General features: G+C 36.0%; 2 pseudogenes; both read left to right on the top strand.

Moving 5' to 3' along the window:
- Positions 9,599–10,115, top strand: LOC100420130 (RB1 inducible coiled-coil 1 pseudogene; annotated as a pseudogene).
- Positions 18,295–19,087, top strand: PSME2P1 (proteasome activator subunit 2 pseudogene 1; annotated as a pseudogene).

Here is a 19,380-nt window from a genome sequence, read left to right on the forward strand (position 1 = left end):
CCCAGAGACCCAGTGCTTAGAGAGTCCTGTATGGGAGGAGCAGCTGCCTGTGTATTCTTCCTGGTTTAGGAGAATGCACAGTCTCCCAATTTATTGCTTCATTAAACTCTGTCTACTTGATCTCCATTCTACCAGACACTGAATGTGGCAGCCATGAGTGGCACACGCAGGAAACCAATGCGATGGCTTCCTGAAAAGGTACCAATCTCGGCTCAAATGATCAGTTTTTATGAAGGTACTTTAGGAAGTATTTAATATGGGAAAGTTCAAACAACATAAGGAGGGTCCATTTGAAGGTGAGGGTCTATTTCTCTTTCCCCTTCTAATCACACATCATAAGTCATTATTGGCTCTGCTTTTTTAATGCTGCCCTTGCCTAGAGTATTAAACACAAAAATAGGGAAGTAAAGGGAAGTGGAAATTATTCATCAATATTTACTCTTCTTTCTATGTGTCCAGGGCACAGACACAGAGCTGTGGCATTCTGATGCATCTCTGGTTCACCAGCTGCGGAAGTGCAGGTGTATGTTTTCTTGATACTGAGAGGTTCTGTAGATACGTTATTATTGACTTTTTCCTCTCAAGGGTCTTCTGCTCTTGATGCTTCCTGCAACATATGTAGATGTTTTATGGCAGGAAGCTATTGAATTGGGCCCACTGGGAATACTTTTATTAGAACCCAATATGGACTGAAATAAAGTCCTATTGCAATTGGGACAATTTGCAAGCTCTCCTACTTACTAGTACATTCCTAATTTCCAAAAGCTCGTCTCTTCCCTACACACAAAGCAGCCTGGGGAAATGTCGGTTGACATATGTAAGTAAACCACAGTTATGTTTCATTGTGCATGACCAGTCTATTAAGGGGTAGATTCATTATGTACTAGAGACAAAGGTATTTTCCCTCTTTCTCATTACTCTGACATCTAAAGTGCTAATAAAGGTTTTAAAATAATGTATGAGCAAGCACTGGATCCTTTCTTCTCCCAGGTCTCCCTCTTCAGATCCTCAAATCAGATCCCTGATATCACAGTATGTGAATCCCCCATTGACTGAAACTCTGGACAGCATACAGAGTGCAGTATTGCTGAAATCACTTTCCTCTGCAGCTGCAATTTAATAATTCCAAAATAGTTTATCAAGGCAAAGAAAACATAGATTTATAAGAGCATTTGAAGGAAAACTTATTCCCACCATGTCTAAACTTCTCATCAAAAAGAAATATTTAGAAAATTCAGGATATATAGATTTTTTTCTGACTTCAAACACAGACCTGTTCATTACTTTGTCCATGCTAATATTTTACCAGAATCTCTGGTGGTACTGAAACTTAACATTATAAAGTTTTGGTTGTTGATGTTATTTTTTTACATTCACCTGAAAAATGCTGAATATGACATGATCAGAAAGTATTATTCCTTAATTCACTTACCAATTGTGACATATGTTGGGAGACATTTGCACATAATTCTTTGCTAGATACTGAGTTTCTGAGAAGGGGAATGAGAAAGGCAATATTTACAAAGACTGTTTTGCTGTAGGAGACATTTTCCTAAGTTATTTTATTTCTTTCTGACAATTTATTTAAAGATAATTATAGCTATATGGGACAATTTGGCATACAGAAAAAAACATAGATGATAGAGGTAGCAGCTGAGTACTTTGATATCAAAGGTTTGTGTGAGCCTCTTTCTAATAATAAGGAATGGAAACAACCATGTTTCTCATGCACTTTTCTGAGCTATCAATTTATAAATAATTTATTTGTATTAAAACCATTACTGCTTTCTTTTAAATCAGAGGAGAATATAATTAGAAAATGTTTATTGCCACAGAAGCATAGTAATGAATTTGAAAACCTGTCCATTATCTCACAAAATCCACATAAGACATGTGCCACTTGCACATAAAACAAAGCTGTTTAATCAGTATGACTGAAAGATCCTCAATCCTCGAGGCATAAAAGGTTTAGAACAATATTGTCCTAGTGATGATAATAATAATTAGGTGCCATAAAGAATTATGTAAAACCTACAAAGCTAGTGGTAGAAATTAATGTTTTCCCCAAAGTATTAGTTACACATTGATTCTTGCAATGTTTTAGCCTAGGATTATAGGAAAAGGAAGCTTAAAACAGCATGAACAATCATCTCAGAACACATTTTTGGGAATTGTTCCTTTCTGAATTTTGGAATAATAGGAATTATAACTAGAAGAAAAGAGGAAGATAAAAGCAGAGAGGCATCTCAGTAAAAAACTGATGACCTTATTTTGTACATAGCAAAAGTTAGGCAGAAAAAAATTCCATTATTGGAACATTCAGGTTTTACTTCTCAGAACAATAGTCCCATGTTCTGTGCCACACAAGGACAAAAAAGTCAAAAATTATTCACATACATGTACAATATTAATTGTAATCAGGTGGTGAAATTTTATATTCAAATTCCTCTATTTAGCAATATTACTTTAACTATTATCAAAGTAAAGCAGAGTTTAAATTGGGACTGAAAAGATAAAAGCAAATATTGCACCACTTCATAATTCATTCTGCATAATTTTAATTGTATCACATTTTAAGGAGTAGCATCTTACTATGTAAAAAAAATGCATTTGACAAATACTTCTATCTCTGTTGATGTGACTGGATGCATTAGAAAAGATTTGTTCCAGGACAGAAAGAATTGCCTGCTTCCAAAATCTCTTTGTAAATCAGTTAGCCATAGTTCTTTTATTGTCCTTTATGGGAAGGATATTCAGGTTGTTGAGGCAAGTGTAGATTCATCAACCCTGGAAGGAACATTTTTACCCAGCCTCTCCTTGAATCAACCCTTTTTTCTGAATTATTAGTAAGCCATATTTCCAACAATTATAGTAAGTAGATCCTTGAGAAAAACAACAAAAAAATGCTCTTGACTTTTTAGTGAATGTATGCTGGGGTCATTTTCTTAATTTTAGTGATTGATTGTTCCCCAAATTCAATAATTACAGAATCTGTATGAAGAAAGCAGCTGCAAAGCTGCTGCTACAAGTAAGTAAAATATTACCCTCACATAAAAGGTCTCTCAAATGAATGGCTCTGTGCCCATTAGAGAAACTCTGTATTGTGATAAAACTACTGCAAATGTATGTGAAGAGCATAGGAATGTCAAGCAAATTCATTGTCTATAGTTATTACTTTCTTAGTTCTCTAAACTTTACTTACTAAATAATTAACACTAAAAACAAAACAAAACAAAAAAAACAGCAACAGGGAAACAATACTTTTCATTGTGATTCTAAATCTGACTTCAGCACATGTTATAGCATTATTGTTCTCTGTGCTGTGATTTTGATTCAATTACCAACATTTTGTTTCAAAATGGAGTAGAACCCAATTCTGCAGAATGTAGTGCCTTAATTACCCTTCATTTACAGTAATCCCTTTCTTTTAACCAGATTTGTACTATGAGTTAAATTTGAATAAGCACATACCAAAATATTTTATTATTTGATATTTAAATATGTGTTTACCTTAAGTACTTTTGAACAGCCTCATTGTATTCCTTGAAACAATTAAACATTATACCTTTTAAAAAATTATCTGACTATTCTTTGGATATATCTTAATGGGGGAAAAGTCAGATTTCAAATGTGTTAGCAAGATATCTTACTGTGACTTTTAACCATGAAGTTTATATTGATGCAAAGGCTCCATTTAAAAAGAAAGTTGCCATAATATGCAACCCATTTTAAATCTCAATACATAATTGACAAGGCTAATTCAGTTTCTTTGAAGGGAGGCTCAACTTCCCATCATATTTTTCCTGAAAAACCCTAATTATTATATTTTACTGGTTCTTTAGTGGAATAAACCAGCCTTTCTCTGCTGTTTAGTTTAGAGCTATAATGACTGTCCAGATACATAAACCAAGAACCGGCGAAGAGCTTGTGCCATTGTCCAGTGAATTCAAGTTTCAGGAATAGTCACATATTCATGGAACCAATGTTTATTGAACATCTACAATGGACAAGGTACATTTTTGGTATTGGAGAGCAACAATAAACAAAATAGACAACACCCCCTACATTCATAGAGCTTGCGTTCTAGTTGCAGAAACAATAACTCAGGAAAAAATTAAATATTTATTATATTCTTTATAAAATTTCTAACAAGGAATAAAAGCCTAAGAGTGAAAAAGGAACATGTGTGCATGGGGGCAGGGTGGGGGGCAGGGGTGGGGCAGTGTCTCTATATATGTTAGCCTAGGAAAAAATTGCTTCCAGATAATTCAAGAAATGCATTGAACTAATTCAGTTTATACCCTGAGAGAAACACAGCACTTTATTAAAGAATCAAAATGATGTTTCTTCCAGTGAATTCTGATGAAAATGTGGTTAAGAAACATGCTCTTCAAGAAGTATATTTGAATCTAGTATAATAAGCAGAAAACAAATCTATTACATTGCGTATTGATATGTTTGGGCTAGTTGGGTCTGTCTTTACCATTATCTTTCACAAAACTGAAAGATTCTGAGGAACAACAAGCAAGTTGTTTCACCTCAGTTGGAGGTCTAGAATTGCAAATGAATTAACAGTAAGGGAAAAAAAATATTTTGGCTCCAAACTTCAGTCCCACATGTGTTAGAGTGGATTATAAAACACACAAGAACAAGTGATCTTTCAGGTTACTTGGCAAACTAAACTTAAGCATCTTAATATAGGAACCGTAAAATAATATTGCACATTTTTGTAGTTCCAACAAGCACTTTGAATTATTTTTAAATAAATTTTTAATAAGTAGTTTTGACTGAAGGAAAACTATCATGGTAATGATGCAAAATATACTAAAAAAATAAGGAACATTTCTCACTGAAAGACACTGGAAATACATATACCTGCCTTTGAAGAGATGTCAGCACATCACATTTAAGCCATCTAGTCTGTAGAAAGACGACAAGGTATCTTATACTTTCTGTAAGATATTTAATATCCCTCTATCATTTTCCCATCAGAAGAATTTGTAAATTTCCCAAATCCGTGTTCAAGTTACTCTGCCTCTCAGGATTCTCAGAGCAGCTGCCAATTTCTAGTACCAAATGTAGAGAAGGATCTCTCATGACCATAAATCAATTCTGTCACCATTTGGGATTACATAAGGACATAGAAGGAAAGACTTTGATCTGGACACTAAATCCAATTAACAATGAGCTAGACATTGGAGCAATCAGTCCCTTTTTCAGCAATCTCTTTTCTGAAGCGTCCTTGGCCTGAGATCCATTGAGATGAAGGTCCTTGTGGGCTCAAAGACTACTCTCTCATAGCCAGTATTTGGACCTGCTCTCAGCAAGAGCCAGTGTTCCTATGATATAACCTCTTTCAGATTCTGGTCTTAGCTAAACTACATCTGGTGAAGAGTGATCTGTGTGTGAAATCTAATGAAGCACTCCACAACTGGCTTCTAAAACCTGGGTCCTGATGGAGGCAGATGAGTTTTATTAAAACGTTACCAAGCCACTAATTTTGTTATTTGAAGAGCCCCACTAAGAGTTGCTTACAGAATTCTTTGCTATTTTTCAAAGAACTAAGAAGCAAAAGTTGGAATTTTTGTTAGCGGTGTTTCATCTTTCAGATACGATCATTCTTGCTCAGCATACCCACCTTCCTCACTAAAATGAAAGGGAATAATTCCCGTAGGAGTTAAGCTGCCTCTACCAATTTCATTTTCACTAGAACCAATCAAGAAAAGACCATAACATCTTTTATTTCTCAGCAGAGTTCTTCTCTGTTCCTAAACACGGGTTACTTAGCCAATTATTGCGAACATATGGATCTTCCATATTTATATGATTTAATATCAGTGATGACAATCTATCTCAAGGGAACTGACTCATGTAAGAAAAAAAGTTTTCTGGATTTGGATTTTTCAAAAAGGTGGCCAGGGTTTTCTTCTCTAAGGGAAAATCCCCTTCAAGCTGCCTGTAGAGATGTGTTTTCTAATTATGTGTAAGGCATGCCAGGAGGGGCCTGACACCTGTGTAGGGGAGAGATTCTGAGTACTGTGGTAGTGACCAGGGTCAGGTGGCTCAGGTTAGAGATGCCAGGTGTACACGCCCCAGGCCAGTTTCACAGGCAGCCATTGTTTCCCCAAATCTAGACAAGACCAGAATGTCAGTGATGAACAACCTTGAGGGAGCTAGTTCTCACAGCGCTGTGTATCCAACTGTGTTGGAAATTACCCAGGGAAGCCTGTTTCAACAGGACTTCTAGCTGCAGTTGTAGGCCCAAAAGTTTCAAGGGAGTCTTTGAACTTGAGGATGCCTATCATTCCCGGTTTTGAAAGCTTCTAAGAACCGCTAGCTGCCAGTCACCAGGAAACAGAGAAAGGAAGTTAATAAGCTAACTCACTTTAGCCGTAATTTATTGCAGTTCATGTTTTTCCCTGTCTTTTTCGCACATTTGGAATGCAGTGTTACCACAGAAAGATCTGCTCCTCGGAATGTATTTTGAATCTTTTTTCTAATCCTTGCTTCACAGAGTTTCATAGTATCTGAAAAAAAATATATGCTTTTAGTTATTCCTGTTGGTAAAATTTCTATAGGATCTAGCCACAACAAGCTCATAGATACACCTAGAGATTAATAGACATATAGTCTAATAGACTCACCTTCATTTCTACTGACTTCTAGTGACAGGCACAGACTGCTGTATTGCATGACGCAGTGAAAGAACTTGAGAAAAATAATCCAAAATTGGAATGTGAGGCCCCATGCTGCAACTACTGCTTTAGGACCTGGGGATAGTTTTCCTAACCTTTCTACAGTTTTAGATCTATAAAGTGGCCATAATAAAACATGCCCTATATCTCAAGATGTTTGCATATGAATCAAAGGAGATAATTTATTTAAAAGCTGTTTGATAAGGGCAATATCCTGCAGAAATAAGCATTTTGATTTTTACAGATATGCTACATTCAGAGCTTTCCCAAATTTGGGTTGCCTACTATTGAATATTTTATTTCTTGGGCCTCTTGCATTTATATAATTATATAATTCTCCACTCTGGGTGATAATTATACGTATATGAAGAAAAACCCTCGATAAGGGGAAATAGAAAAGGTTGGATATCTTCCTCCCCTAATGTTGCTCTCCTGAGGGTCCAGTACCTGGCCATGGTGGACTAATCACAAGAGAAATGCACTGCAGACATTCCTTCAAGCTTCTGAGGTTTTTTTTTTTAAACTATAAAAGTCAAAGCACCATGAGAAACATGCCATCTTGAAGGGGAAAGACCCATTAATTGAACCAGGGGTGGAGTAACTTCTAATGGGGAAAAACAATAAAAGGTAGTTAAAGATAGTGTTTTCAAAAACCTCTGCTCTGCCAATTCTCATGAAAAATACATAAGTCATAGGACATTTGATTCTGGCCCTTAGGTGATTTGCAATTCAATGTGCCCAATCCTTCTGACCTCACTGACCAGAAAATAGCCAATGAAATTATTATTAATAAAGCAAATGAATGTTGTTCATGTTTTATGTTGTTGTCGTATATTAGGAGTTATTTAGGGATGAATGGGGAGTGTATGGCTGCTGAGTTGACAATGTGGTTTTAATATCACTACTGATTGTCTACTGTCAAATTTGCATCACATCACCTTATAAAGTTTCCTTCTTCATTTGAGTAATCATAATTTAATTTCATAATGGCCAGCTATTTCTATCAAAGTATTTCTTATTTTTTTATTCTTAAATTGTTTAATTTTTCTTCCAAGACTTCCTCAGAATAGATTATCTAATAAAATTATTGGAAGAATCTAGATGCTTCTTTTTTATTCCCAGTTAAGTTTTTGAGTTAAAAGTCCTGTCTTCTAGCTCATGACAATTTTTTTGTGTGTGTTCTCAGGTCACTTCTCTACTTGTTGGGCCAGTTTATCATCTCTTGGTTTTCAAAGGTACTTAAACTACAACTTCCTCTGAAAATCAAATATTCTTTCTCTTTTTCCACGTCAAATACTTGCAGAAAAAACAACATTGTGAATTCTCATTTTAAAAAAATACAGCTGTAGAAATAAGAGATATTATTTAAAACTTCCTCTGGAAGTAACATTGTAAGTAAAACTTGAAAATGAATCACTATCTTTTAAAAGTAAATGTGAATCTAAACTTGATGTATTAATAATGGAGGGAAATCAATAAGCCAATAACAAACAACCTCGTTTAAAAAATGGGCAAAAGACACAAACAGACACATCTCAAAAGAAGACATACACGTGGCCAACAAGCATATGAAAAAATACTCAATATCACTGATCATTAGGGAAATGCAAATCAAAAACAAAATGAGACACCAACTCACACCAGCCAGAATAGCCATTGCCACAAAGTCAAAAAATAACAGATGCTGGTGAGATTGCAGAGAAAAGGGAATGCTTATACACTGCTGATGGGAATGTAAATTAGTTTAGCCACTGTGAAAAGCAGTTTGGAGATTTCTCAAAGAACTTAAAATAGAACTACCATTAGAACCAGCAATACCATTACTGGGTATATACCCCCCAAAATATAAATCATTACACCATAAAGACACATGCACGTACATGTTCATCACAGCACTATTCACAATAGCAAAAACATGGAATCAACCTAGGTGCCCATCAATAGTGGACTGGATTGTTTGGAGCAAGCCCCCCAAAATCTGGCCATAAACTGGCCCCCAAACTGGCTATAAACAAAATCTCTGCAGCACTGTAACATGTCCATAATGGCCAAGCTGGAAGGTTGTGGATTTATGGGAATGTGGGCAAGGAACACCTGGCCCGCCCAGGGCGGAAAACCGCTTAAAGGCATTCTTAAGCCACAGACAACAGCATGAGAGATTTATGACTTAAGGGCATGTTCCTGCTGCAGTTAACTAGCCCAACCTATTTATTTAATTCAGCCCATCCCTTCGTTTCCGTAAGGGATACTTTTAGTTAATTTAACATCTATAGAAACAATGCTAATGACTGGTTTGCTGTTAATAAATACGTGGGTAAATCTCTGTTCAGGGCTCTCAGCTCTGAAGGTTGTGAGGCCCCTGATTTCCCACTTCACACCTCTATATTTCTGTGTGTGTGTGTCTGTGTCTTTAATTCCTCTAGCTCCGCTGGGTTAGGGTCTCCCTGACCAAGCTGGTCTCCGCACTGGATAAAGAAAATGTGGTACATATACATCATGGAATACTACACAGTCATAAAAAAGAATGAAATCATGTCCTTTGCAGCAATGTGGATAAAGCTGAAGGCCATTATCCTAAGCAAATTGACACAGAAATAGAAAACCAAATACCGCCTGTTTTCACTTTCAAGTAGGAGCTCAATATTGAGTACAAATGGGCATAAAGATGGGAATAATAGATACTGGGGTCTGTTTGAGAGGGGAGTCTGGGAGATGGGTAAGGGTCAAAAAACTACCTATTGTAAACTGTGCTTATTCCCTGGGTGATGAAATAGTTTGTACGCTAAATGCCCACAACATGCAATTTACCTATGTAACAAACCCGTACATGTATCCCCTGAACCTAAAATAGAAGTTGAAAGGAAAAACAAAAAATGAAACAATTGGAATCACTTGGGGAAAAAAAGACATAGTTGTGGAGAGCAGGATTTCAGAACAAAGCTGCTTTGAAAAATATGGACTTTGACACCCAGGATATGCAGAGGTTTGAAAAGGTACAGGAAATGAAAGGATTCTTTGGATATGTTTTTAAAAAGGGAAATAATTGATTTAATACAGGAATCATAGGACACAATTGCAAAAAAAAAAAGATATAACTGCAAAAAATGTTAAAATTAAAGTTCCCGATATGTCTGACTTAACAAAAATTTGAACTTGCATTAAAGGAAGCAAAGACCAAGGAGATGACAATCTTTTTGGAAGAAAGCAAAGCCTAGCAGCTGGAGACCTGGAAGTCTTCCATGGACAAGAGACAGACAGCTTGAAATATGGGAGTTAAATCAAAAGATTCAGCTTAATAATGAATATATTCAGGTGGACTTAGCAAAGCTAAGAACTCTAATGACAAATTGAAAAGTTCAGTGCATTTCAGAGTTAACTAGTAAACATGAGTCAAATTTCTTTAAGGCTGAATTAAATAAAAGGAAATTTCTAAGTTTTTCCATGAAGCTAACATCTGTATTTATTACAATATCATAGTAGAGCAACATTAATGTGAATGAAATAATTATGTAAAAATATAACATCTACTACTGACATTTCGGAAACAAATGTCTTGAATAAGCATTTCCACTGGTCCTGAAATCATGAGCATTTTAATTTTTATGGACCTTAATTTTTCTTAAGCCTTTTAATTTTAATTTTTATAGACCTTTATTTTTCTTAAATCAAGCCCATTTTAAGACTTATAAGAGCTTTGAATATAAAAACAACTTGTTTCTGTAGAATAGTTGTTCTCAAACAACTCTACACATTGGAATACTGTGTGGAATTTTAAAAACACTAATGCCTGAAGTCCAGGCCTGGAAATTCAGCTCTAATTTGTATGGAAGTGCAGTCTGGGAAATGGGGGCTTTTTAAAGCTCCCCAGGTAACAACAATGCACAGCCGTGTTTGAGAACCAATGACGTAAAAGGAATAAGAAAGAAAAAAATCAGTTGATGCTTGTTTACAAGAATACAGCAAGCTACTTTAGCACAATCATCTGCTTAATGCACTGTCTCTTCAATTTATTTTCCAGCTGGGACTGAAATTATTGACCACAGAATGTTTATGCAGTTAGTAACACTCATTCCAATTAAATAATTTTCTTTCTGTTGTTTCTTTCCACGGGGTTGCGCAGTAGTAGCTGATATTCTAAACAGGTGTCTCCATTAATGTGAATTTGCAAAACCAAATATCAACAGAGCTTCTTGTTAAATATGCCAATACTGTTTGTGATGGCTTCTAGTTCTGTCATTTGGAACTCACTGTGAGCTGCCAAGAACAATTAGTAACAGGCATCTGCTCCTCAAGTTTACTATATAAGAATTCCAAAGTGATTTTAATCATCTTTTTGGTAACAGTGCTTTTTATCAAACAGAAAATTATCCATGCAAATTATTAACTTTCAACTCATGAATAACAGTGAGGAATTTTATGCAGTCTTAGAAACAAAACATTCCTCACTGATGACCTAAAAAGTACTCACACTTTTTCACAGATGAGAAAATTAGCCCCAAGAGGTTGATGTGATTCACTTGTTACCACATATCCAAATGAGACAAAGCCCTACCTGGAACAAACACCATCTGTTTCTCAGTCCACTATTCTCTCTGTAATACAATAGCTTCTCTTGGAGATTTCAGAATACTACAAGTAAATATATTTTAGTTGCTGGAATCAGACTTTCTATAAACTTAAAGGCTATTTTACAACCTTGATGAAAACATAAATTGATTTCTCAGAGTTCTTATATTTCTTATCGGAGAAACTTGTATCAAAGCTAACTATTAAAAGAAAGTGACCAACATTTAAATTTCTCAAAAGCTTGTATCACGTTTCACCAGAAATAGTTCCATTAATTGAATGCATTTCTTTAAAACTGTTGATTGGTTCTATTAATGTCCATTTCTTAAGTATACCTCTAATTTGGATCAAAAATTCCAACATTTCATCTAATGAGAGACAAGAGAGCCAGTCTAAAGCCCAGTTTCCACTTACGAAATAGAGTTCATGAAACATGGCTTTCATTCATGCAACAGCTTACACAGCCCTACAGTGGGGCTGCTCTTTATTGTATTTTGGAGGACTCTCAAATTCTCACCAGCATTCAGACCAGTGTGGTTAGCCTCTAAGCTCCTATTTTAGTTACTGGTGCCTTCCTTTTGCCCCTATATGACATTATTTGTAGCTTAAGTTAAATTTTCTTGACAAGCATTACCATATTCACAGCTTTATATTAAAGATCAAAATTTCTAGTCCGTGCAGCTGCCTTTGCAAGGTTTTATTTGCCCCTTTCTGTGACTGTGTTTTAATGGAAGAATTGTAGAACAGCAATGGACTTTATCTTCACATGAAACTTCACAATTTCAAACTCAGAGAGTTGTATTATATTTCCCTTATACTCTTCAAAGAAGGAAACTGTGACATCCCCTACTCAGGTGTTGCTATGTGTCATGCTATTTCTAAATACATGACTGTGTTTTTCTAATATTCTTTCATTGTGGTTCATTAAATTTTTCATCTATTGTAAAAAAATTAGTGCACCCATTACAGAAATGATTCTATCCCATGTTAAGAATAAAAGTTTTGTTTTTTGATTTATTTTGTTTTGTTTTCCATGGAAGTCTCTAAATCTCTTTCTTGTTTGCTCTTTTAGTTATTGGTGGCTTCCTTTGATGCATTATGTCATTCTTGCCTCAATTTAATTTTCCTGGCATGCAATACCTGGGTTTGAATTCCAACTCCATCACTTCCTACTTATGTGATCCTTAGAAACTTATTTAAACTCCATAATTTCTGGTTTCCTATGAATATAAATGAAACTAATAATAGTACTAATATCAAAGTATTATTACTAGGGCTAGACATAAGGCATATAGCAGGTGTCCAGTACAAAGTAGTTTTTTGAATGTGAGTTATTTTATTGTTTGCACAATTGGAGATAGTGGTAAGAGTGAACAACAGAGAGCTAAAGAGGAAAAAAGAGGCTGTATGAGTTCGTTCTCATGCTGCTAATATCCAGGACTGGGTAATTTATAAAGGAAAGAGGTCAATTGACTCACAGTTTCACAGGGCTGGGGAGGCCTTGGGAAACTTACAATCATGGTGGAAGGGAAAGCAAACACATCCTTCTTCACATGGTGGCAGCAAGGAGAAGTGCTGAGCAAAGCAGGGGGAAAGCCCCTTATAAAACCATCAGATCGCATGAGAACTCACTCACTATCACGAGAACAGCATGGAGGTAACTGCCCCCATGGTTTAACTACCTCCTGCCAGCTCCCTCCCACAACACATGGAGATTATGGGAACTACAAGGTTAGATTTGGGTAGGGACACAGCCAAACCATATCAGAAGCCAACTCCAATTTTGACCTCTGGGATCAGTAAAACCTATTGGTATAGGGAGAGGGATCCCAAGATTCCTTGTTGGTTGTCCTCCTTCGCTACAATAAAGGAGAAAAATAGATTTAGTCACTGGATCCAAACAGGTCAATGTTTCTCTAGATTGAATGCCCATTAACTCCTTAGTATTATCAGCACAGGCTGTACTGCACAAGTTATACATTCCTATGGTAACAAAAAGCATGAAAAGATTATAAAGGGTAATTGGGTTTCAGTACCTCTCAGTTTTTTAGCAAATTTGTATATTTCACTTATCATCTTTACTGTCTTTACTGAAGAATATTTCTGGCTTTCTAAATAATGTCTTCAGGACATATCCTTCCCTCCTCAGAGTGTTTAATGAATGTACACAGAAGCCTGCTGTGTTCTAAGAGCAAACATGAAAATAATTTTTAAGCTATCTTTTTCTGTCAAAAATTAAAAAATCAATAGCAAACTAATGGCTCTATTTCCTGCATTCATATTATAACCTCAAGTATAATAGGAGATTTCTATATAAATTTATATTCTTAAGGTTATAAAATGCTTTACTAAAACTTCATATTTGGGTAGTAGGAATTCAAGGAAAGACAATACAAAGTAAATCACAACTCCACTGTAGTATACTTTGTTTCTCTCATTTGTGAAACTATATAACATTACAACTTCCACTTTTGAATGTATTGACAGATATCTTCTTCATAATTTAAATTTGAACACAGACGTGTTCTTTAATTAATCTTTCCTTTGCTACAAGATCATTTAGCAGACAAATACAAAAATTTTATGTGTCTATATTTTTCTTAACTTTTTCATAAAAGGTTAAAAGCCTCAGGTAACATGATAAAATAAAATTCAAAGAATTAATAAGCCTAAAACATAAATTATTCATCAAGGAAATGAGATATAATACAGCCATGTTACGTTTTTACCTAAAATAAGAATGAAAAGAACATCTGATAAATAGTGCAGAAAATCAAGCAAGAGAATGGTTAGGTTTCAAGGTGAAAAGTCTGGTCCTCTTTTATAACTTAACTGAGGAAGAAATCACATCAGTTCAGGAAAGAAGTCAGAAGTCGAAGAAAAGTAATAAAATAGGGATTTCGGTATTATTGAATTTAGCACCTGAACTGAAAGAGTGTGAAACCTTAGTCTTTCCTGATGAACACTGGGCATTAAAAAAAATTATTTGCACTACAGGCCAGAAAAGTTAAGAGGTGAGATGCAAAGGTGACAGTTTGACAGGTTTACCCAGGTGTGGGATCATTTGACCAAAAGTCTGAAATCTCTACATTGATGAATTTGTAAGTAATGGAAGTGGGAAGAAATTCACAGTGATTGATGGCTTTACTGTCAGAATTAGACTGAAATGCTTGCCAATATTAAGAGAAGGTCAAATAATGAAAACACAATTTATTCTATAAATTTTCCCAGGTTATGAGAACTTTCAGATACATTATCTTGCCAAAGCTTGTCAATGATTTTAAAGTAGATATGTCAGGAATTATTGTTTTGATTTTACAGAGAAGGCACTGAGCCTCAGAGAAGGAGCTGCCTAAGGTGAGAATCATAATCAAAGCTCTCACTCAAGTTTTCTGACTCAAACTCTTATGCTCTTTTCAATATGCTATGCAAGGAAGAGAAGAGAAGGAGATAAATACATACTTAACATTTATTTTTTTCAGGAACAACACATTTGTCATTCCATTCAATCTTCATGACACCCCAATATTAACCAATGATAAAGAACTATCATTTACTCTAGCCCTATTATATTTTTCAGGACATGCATATCTATTATTCCTAAATGCTCATAATAGCACTGCAAGGTAGTGTTAATATTTCCATTATGCAGATCAAGAAAATGACTCACAGGTTAGAAGACTAGCCCAGGATCCACCAAGCATCTTTTAAAAACACACAGCTCATGTCACCTAGCCCCTTCTGTTTAACTCACTAATGGATCCCCACTGGTCTTAAATAATGATTTGCTATGTGAAGTCTTAATCTTCTTTCTCCAATCTTATATTGCCCCATTATTTCCTTGTTATCACCCTTGTCCCATTCTCTTTGCATGAAACTCTAGCCTCATTCACCCAGTTAACTCTTTTATTTCCTCAGACAAACCTTCCTGACTAAACCAGTCTCTACCATCACATTCATTCAGTTTTCACTCTTGTACAGCCTCTTTTTGATAGCACTTCAACAGCTATAATTTTATATGTATCTGTAAAATTAGTAGAATATTGTTTCTCTCACCCCAAATCATAAACTTAGATGAGGGCCAGGACCCTGTCTTTCTTTTTCTTGCCATTTTATCACCAGCTTCAGTATGGCACTTGCACAAGACTTTTTAAAACAAAGATTATTTATTCTTTTATTTAACAAACATTTGTAGCATACTTCAATGTGCCACACTAAAACTGTAGAATGTGCCAATGGAAAAGAAACAGTATCTTGAATGGATCTGCTCTTTCATAAAGTAACTCTCATTCTTGACTTATTTCTTCCTAATTATATAACCTAGTGTTATATAGGTGAGAAATTTTTCAACATATTGGTGGTGAGCTTTTCTGTATCTCTTTGGATGTCTTTAATTGGCTCAGTTTTTCAAAGACAAGTCCAAATAAGCATTCTTCACAGAAGCTGTTTATTAGTAGTAGTAGTAGTAGTAGTATTCACTTTCTCCCAACTTACAGGAACTGTTCACTTTTACACATTTTTATGATACCTTGGTTTTACCACATAATCTGTCTATTTTATGGTATAGTTCTTGAATGTGAAATTCTTTAGCTAGTAAATTCAGATTCTTCATTACAGAAGCAATGTCTAATTCATCTTTCTGGCGTTTGCAGTTCTAGAATAGTGATTTGCACATAGTCAGGACTCAGGAAATTCATGTTAATAGAGAGCCCATGACTGCAGAGACATCCTGGTCAAAAGGGTTGGTGTTATCAGTAAGGTGCCAGAAACCTAAAAACATAGCTCCCTTTGACTTGCTTCTATTTCCAGACATTTCATATGTTGTGGCGTATGTAATTTCCACTCAAACACCAACTGGATTCCTACAATTCGCTTCAATTCTGACAGTAGCTACCTAAAGTTAATGTCAGTTACCACAGGTTTGAGGGCTTAGTCTCACGAGACTACCCTCACTTCAGAAGTTTCACACTTCTGAGGTATGGGGACCACCCATACTATTGATCAACTGGCTATAAATGCAGGGTTCTCATGATCCTCTTTCAGTTTTATATAATTCACTGCAATGACTGACAAAACTCAGGAGTGCCCTATTTATTATTACAGTTTTACTATAAAAGATACAACTCAGGAATAGTCAAATGGAAGAGACGCATAGGGCAAGGCTAGGGGCGTAGGACCTGTGCAGAACTTCCATATCCTTTCCAGGCTCCCAACACATCTGTGGGCTCACCAACCCAGAGGTTCCTTGAGCCTCATTGTTTCAGGGTTTTTATACGGGCTTTTCTTTTGTATATGTGATTGAATAAAATATTGGTCACATGATTAAATTTAATCTCCAGTCCCTCTTCTCTTAGCAGGTTAGGGAGTGGGATTGAAAGTTCCACCTCTTTAATCAGATGGCTTGTGATGAATAACAAAAGACAGTTATATCTGAGGAATTTCCAAGGGTTTTAAGAACTCTATGCCAGGAACCCAGGAAGAAGCCCGAACGTATTTTTTATTATATCACATGATAGAATTGGGAAGGAAAGGTGGTTGGAAGACATAACCCCACCGCTAACCTTGTTGCCAATGAAAGTCAACCAATCTGTGCCTCATATTGAGGAATTTTGATAAAAATAAAACAGCTTTCCTCCAAATTTGCTAAAAACCCAAGAATATGAGTTGAATTAAAAAATTATCTTTAAACCATTTTTTAATAAACTAAAAAATGCCTTGAAAACAACATAAAAATTAAGATTTTGATTTCAGATCAAAAGAATATGTCAACAACTTCTAAACAATTCCTGCAATGAATCTGCTATATATATTTTGGAACATTTAATGAAGTAACATTCATAAATGGGCTTAAATACTGGAGACATTCATTCTCATTCTCTCTCTCTCTCTCTCTCCTCTCTCATGCTCATGCACTAGATTGCTTGCTTTCATTTTTCCTCCTTCCTCAAACAGAACAACCATCACTCTCGAACTGCAGACACATGAAGATCAACTGCTCCACATTTCCATGTAGCAGGAATGTTTTAAAATTTAAACATTTTTAAATCAGCTTGGCTGATTTTAGGGATCCCGTTCTGCCATTCTCTCCCAAGTAAGAATCAGAAAAAAATCTATCATAGCAGCAATAAAAGGATGAGAGAGAGAGAAATGGGGATCTTCAAAATGTATGCATGCTCATGTTTGTGGGGGGAGGAGACACATATTATTAGATGGTGGAATAGATAAGATCCAACCGCATCAAACAGCAGGGAGGCAAATGCATAGGACCTCTTTATGGTGAAATTAAAGAGAAGCTGCACAGACTTTCACACCATGCAAAGCATATATATCAAAACTATCATGCTGCATTTAGACTATTTTATAAACTAAAAATTATATTTGGATTCACTGAGATATTTTACTTGCCTGACAGAAAAAAAAATTACAAATCACACTATGAAAGCTTAAAGATTACATTCACCAACATGAACGTTTTAAGTCTTACATAGCTGTTTCTCCTTCCTTCTTGACAAAATATGGTATTGGGTGATTGCACTGCTTAGTTACCATCCCATTAGATGCAGTCAATCTTAGCTTTTCATTTTCTAAGATTCTAATGAAAGCCATGAACCACTTCTCCAGAAAATATAACTCACATTAATATAATTTGGGATAATTCATAGATGCTCTAAAGCCTAGAAAAATCCTTAGACAGAAGAGAGGAGTATGCAAACAGTTTCCCAGAACTTCTGCCACTCAGATCAGATCATTTTCTGAAAATATGGTGGATAACAGAGCTGTTCTCCTTCTTGCACTGGAGAAACTTGTGCAAAATATATAGGTTGCCCTTAAGGCCATACAGAAATATCCAATATTTTTAACAGAACAGTCTGATTTACCACATCTAAAATTATAACACAGGGTTCTGTTTCCATTTCAAATCCTTAAAGCTTTTGATTTGTTTAGTACTGACAGAAAAAGAAATACAAAGGGATGCATACATCAAGTCAACACCTTCATCCCTAGAGTTTCATCAGGCTGTTTACATCTCAAAAGAGATCTTCTAGTAGCGACTGAAGCAGCATGGCCAAGCCTTGTGGGGTGCGCCTGAGCGGAGAAGCCCTTAAACAGGTGGAGGTCTTCAGGCAGAATCTTTTCCAGGAGGCTGAAGAATTCCTCTGCAGATTCTTGCCACAGAAAATCATATATCTGAATCAGCTCTTGCAAGAGGACTCCCTCAATGTGGCTGACCTGACTTCCCTCCGGTCCCCACTGGACGTCCCCATCCCAGACCCTCCACCCAAGGATGATGAGATGGAAACAGATAAGCAGGAGAAGAAAGACGTCCCTAAGTGTGGATTTCTCCCTGGGAATGAGAAAGTCCTGTCCCTCTTTGCCCTGGTTAAGCCAGAAGTCTGGACTCTCAAACAGAAATGCATTCTGGTGATTACGTGGATCCAACACCTGATCCCTAAGATTGACGATGGAAATGAGTTTGGGGTAGCAATCCAGGAGAAGGTGCTGGAGAGGGTGAATGCCGTCAAGATCAAAGTGGAAGCTTTCCAGACAACCATTTCCAAGTACTTCTCAGAACGTGGGGATCCTGTGGCCAAGGCCTCCGAGGAGACTCATGTAATGGATTACCGGGCCTTGGTGCTTGAGCCAGATGAGGCAGCCTATGGGGAGCTCAGGGCCATGGTGCTGGACCTGAGGGCCTTCTATGCTGAGCTTTATCATATCATCAGCAGCAACTTGGAGAAAATTGTCAACCCAAAGGGTGAAGAGAAGCCATCTATGTACTGAACCCAGGACTAGAAGGAAAATAAATGATCTACATGTTGTGTGGAAAAAAAAATTAAACTTAAAAATTTTTAAATTATTTACACATATGGGATCCCTTAGTTTTCTTTTGAGTTTATTTCAAAAGAAAACTAGGGGATCCCATATGTGTAAATAATTTTTAAATGTGTAGTAAGACTCATCCCCTCCATTTAACCAGTAAGAAATATAAACATAGTCATTTTTAATGATCCTCTTATATTTATGTGTTTAGCAAGTGGTGAATTCACCATTACAGACAGATTCATACACGCCCTTTTGAGTCAATAAGATAAGACCTAGTAATACTTATTTTTACCAA

This window comes from Homo sapiens, chromosome 5 (genome assembly GCF_000001405.40).
Source record: "Homo sapiens chromosome 5, GRCh38.p14 Primary Assembly".
In the NCBI taxonomy this organism is placed as follows: domain Eukaryota; kingdom Metazoa; phylum Chordata; class Mammalia; order Primates; family Hominidae; genus Homo; species Homo sapiens.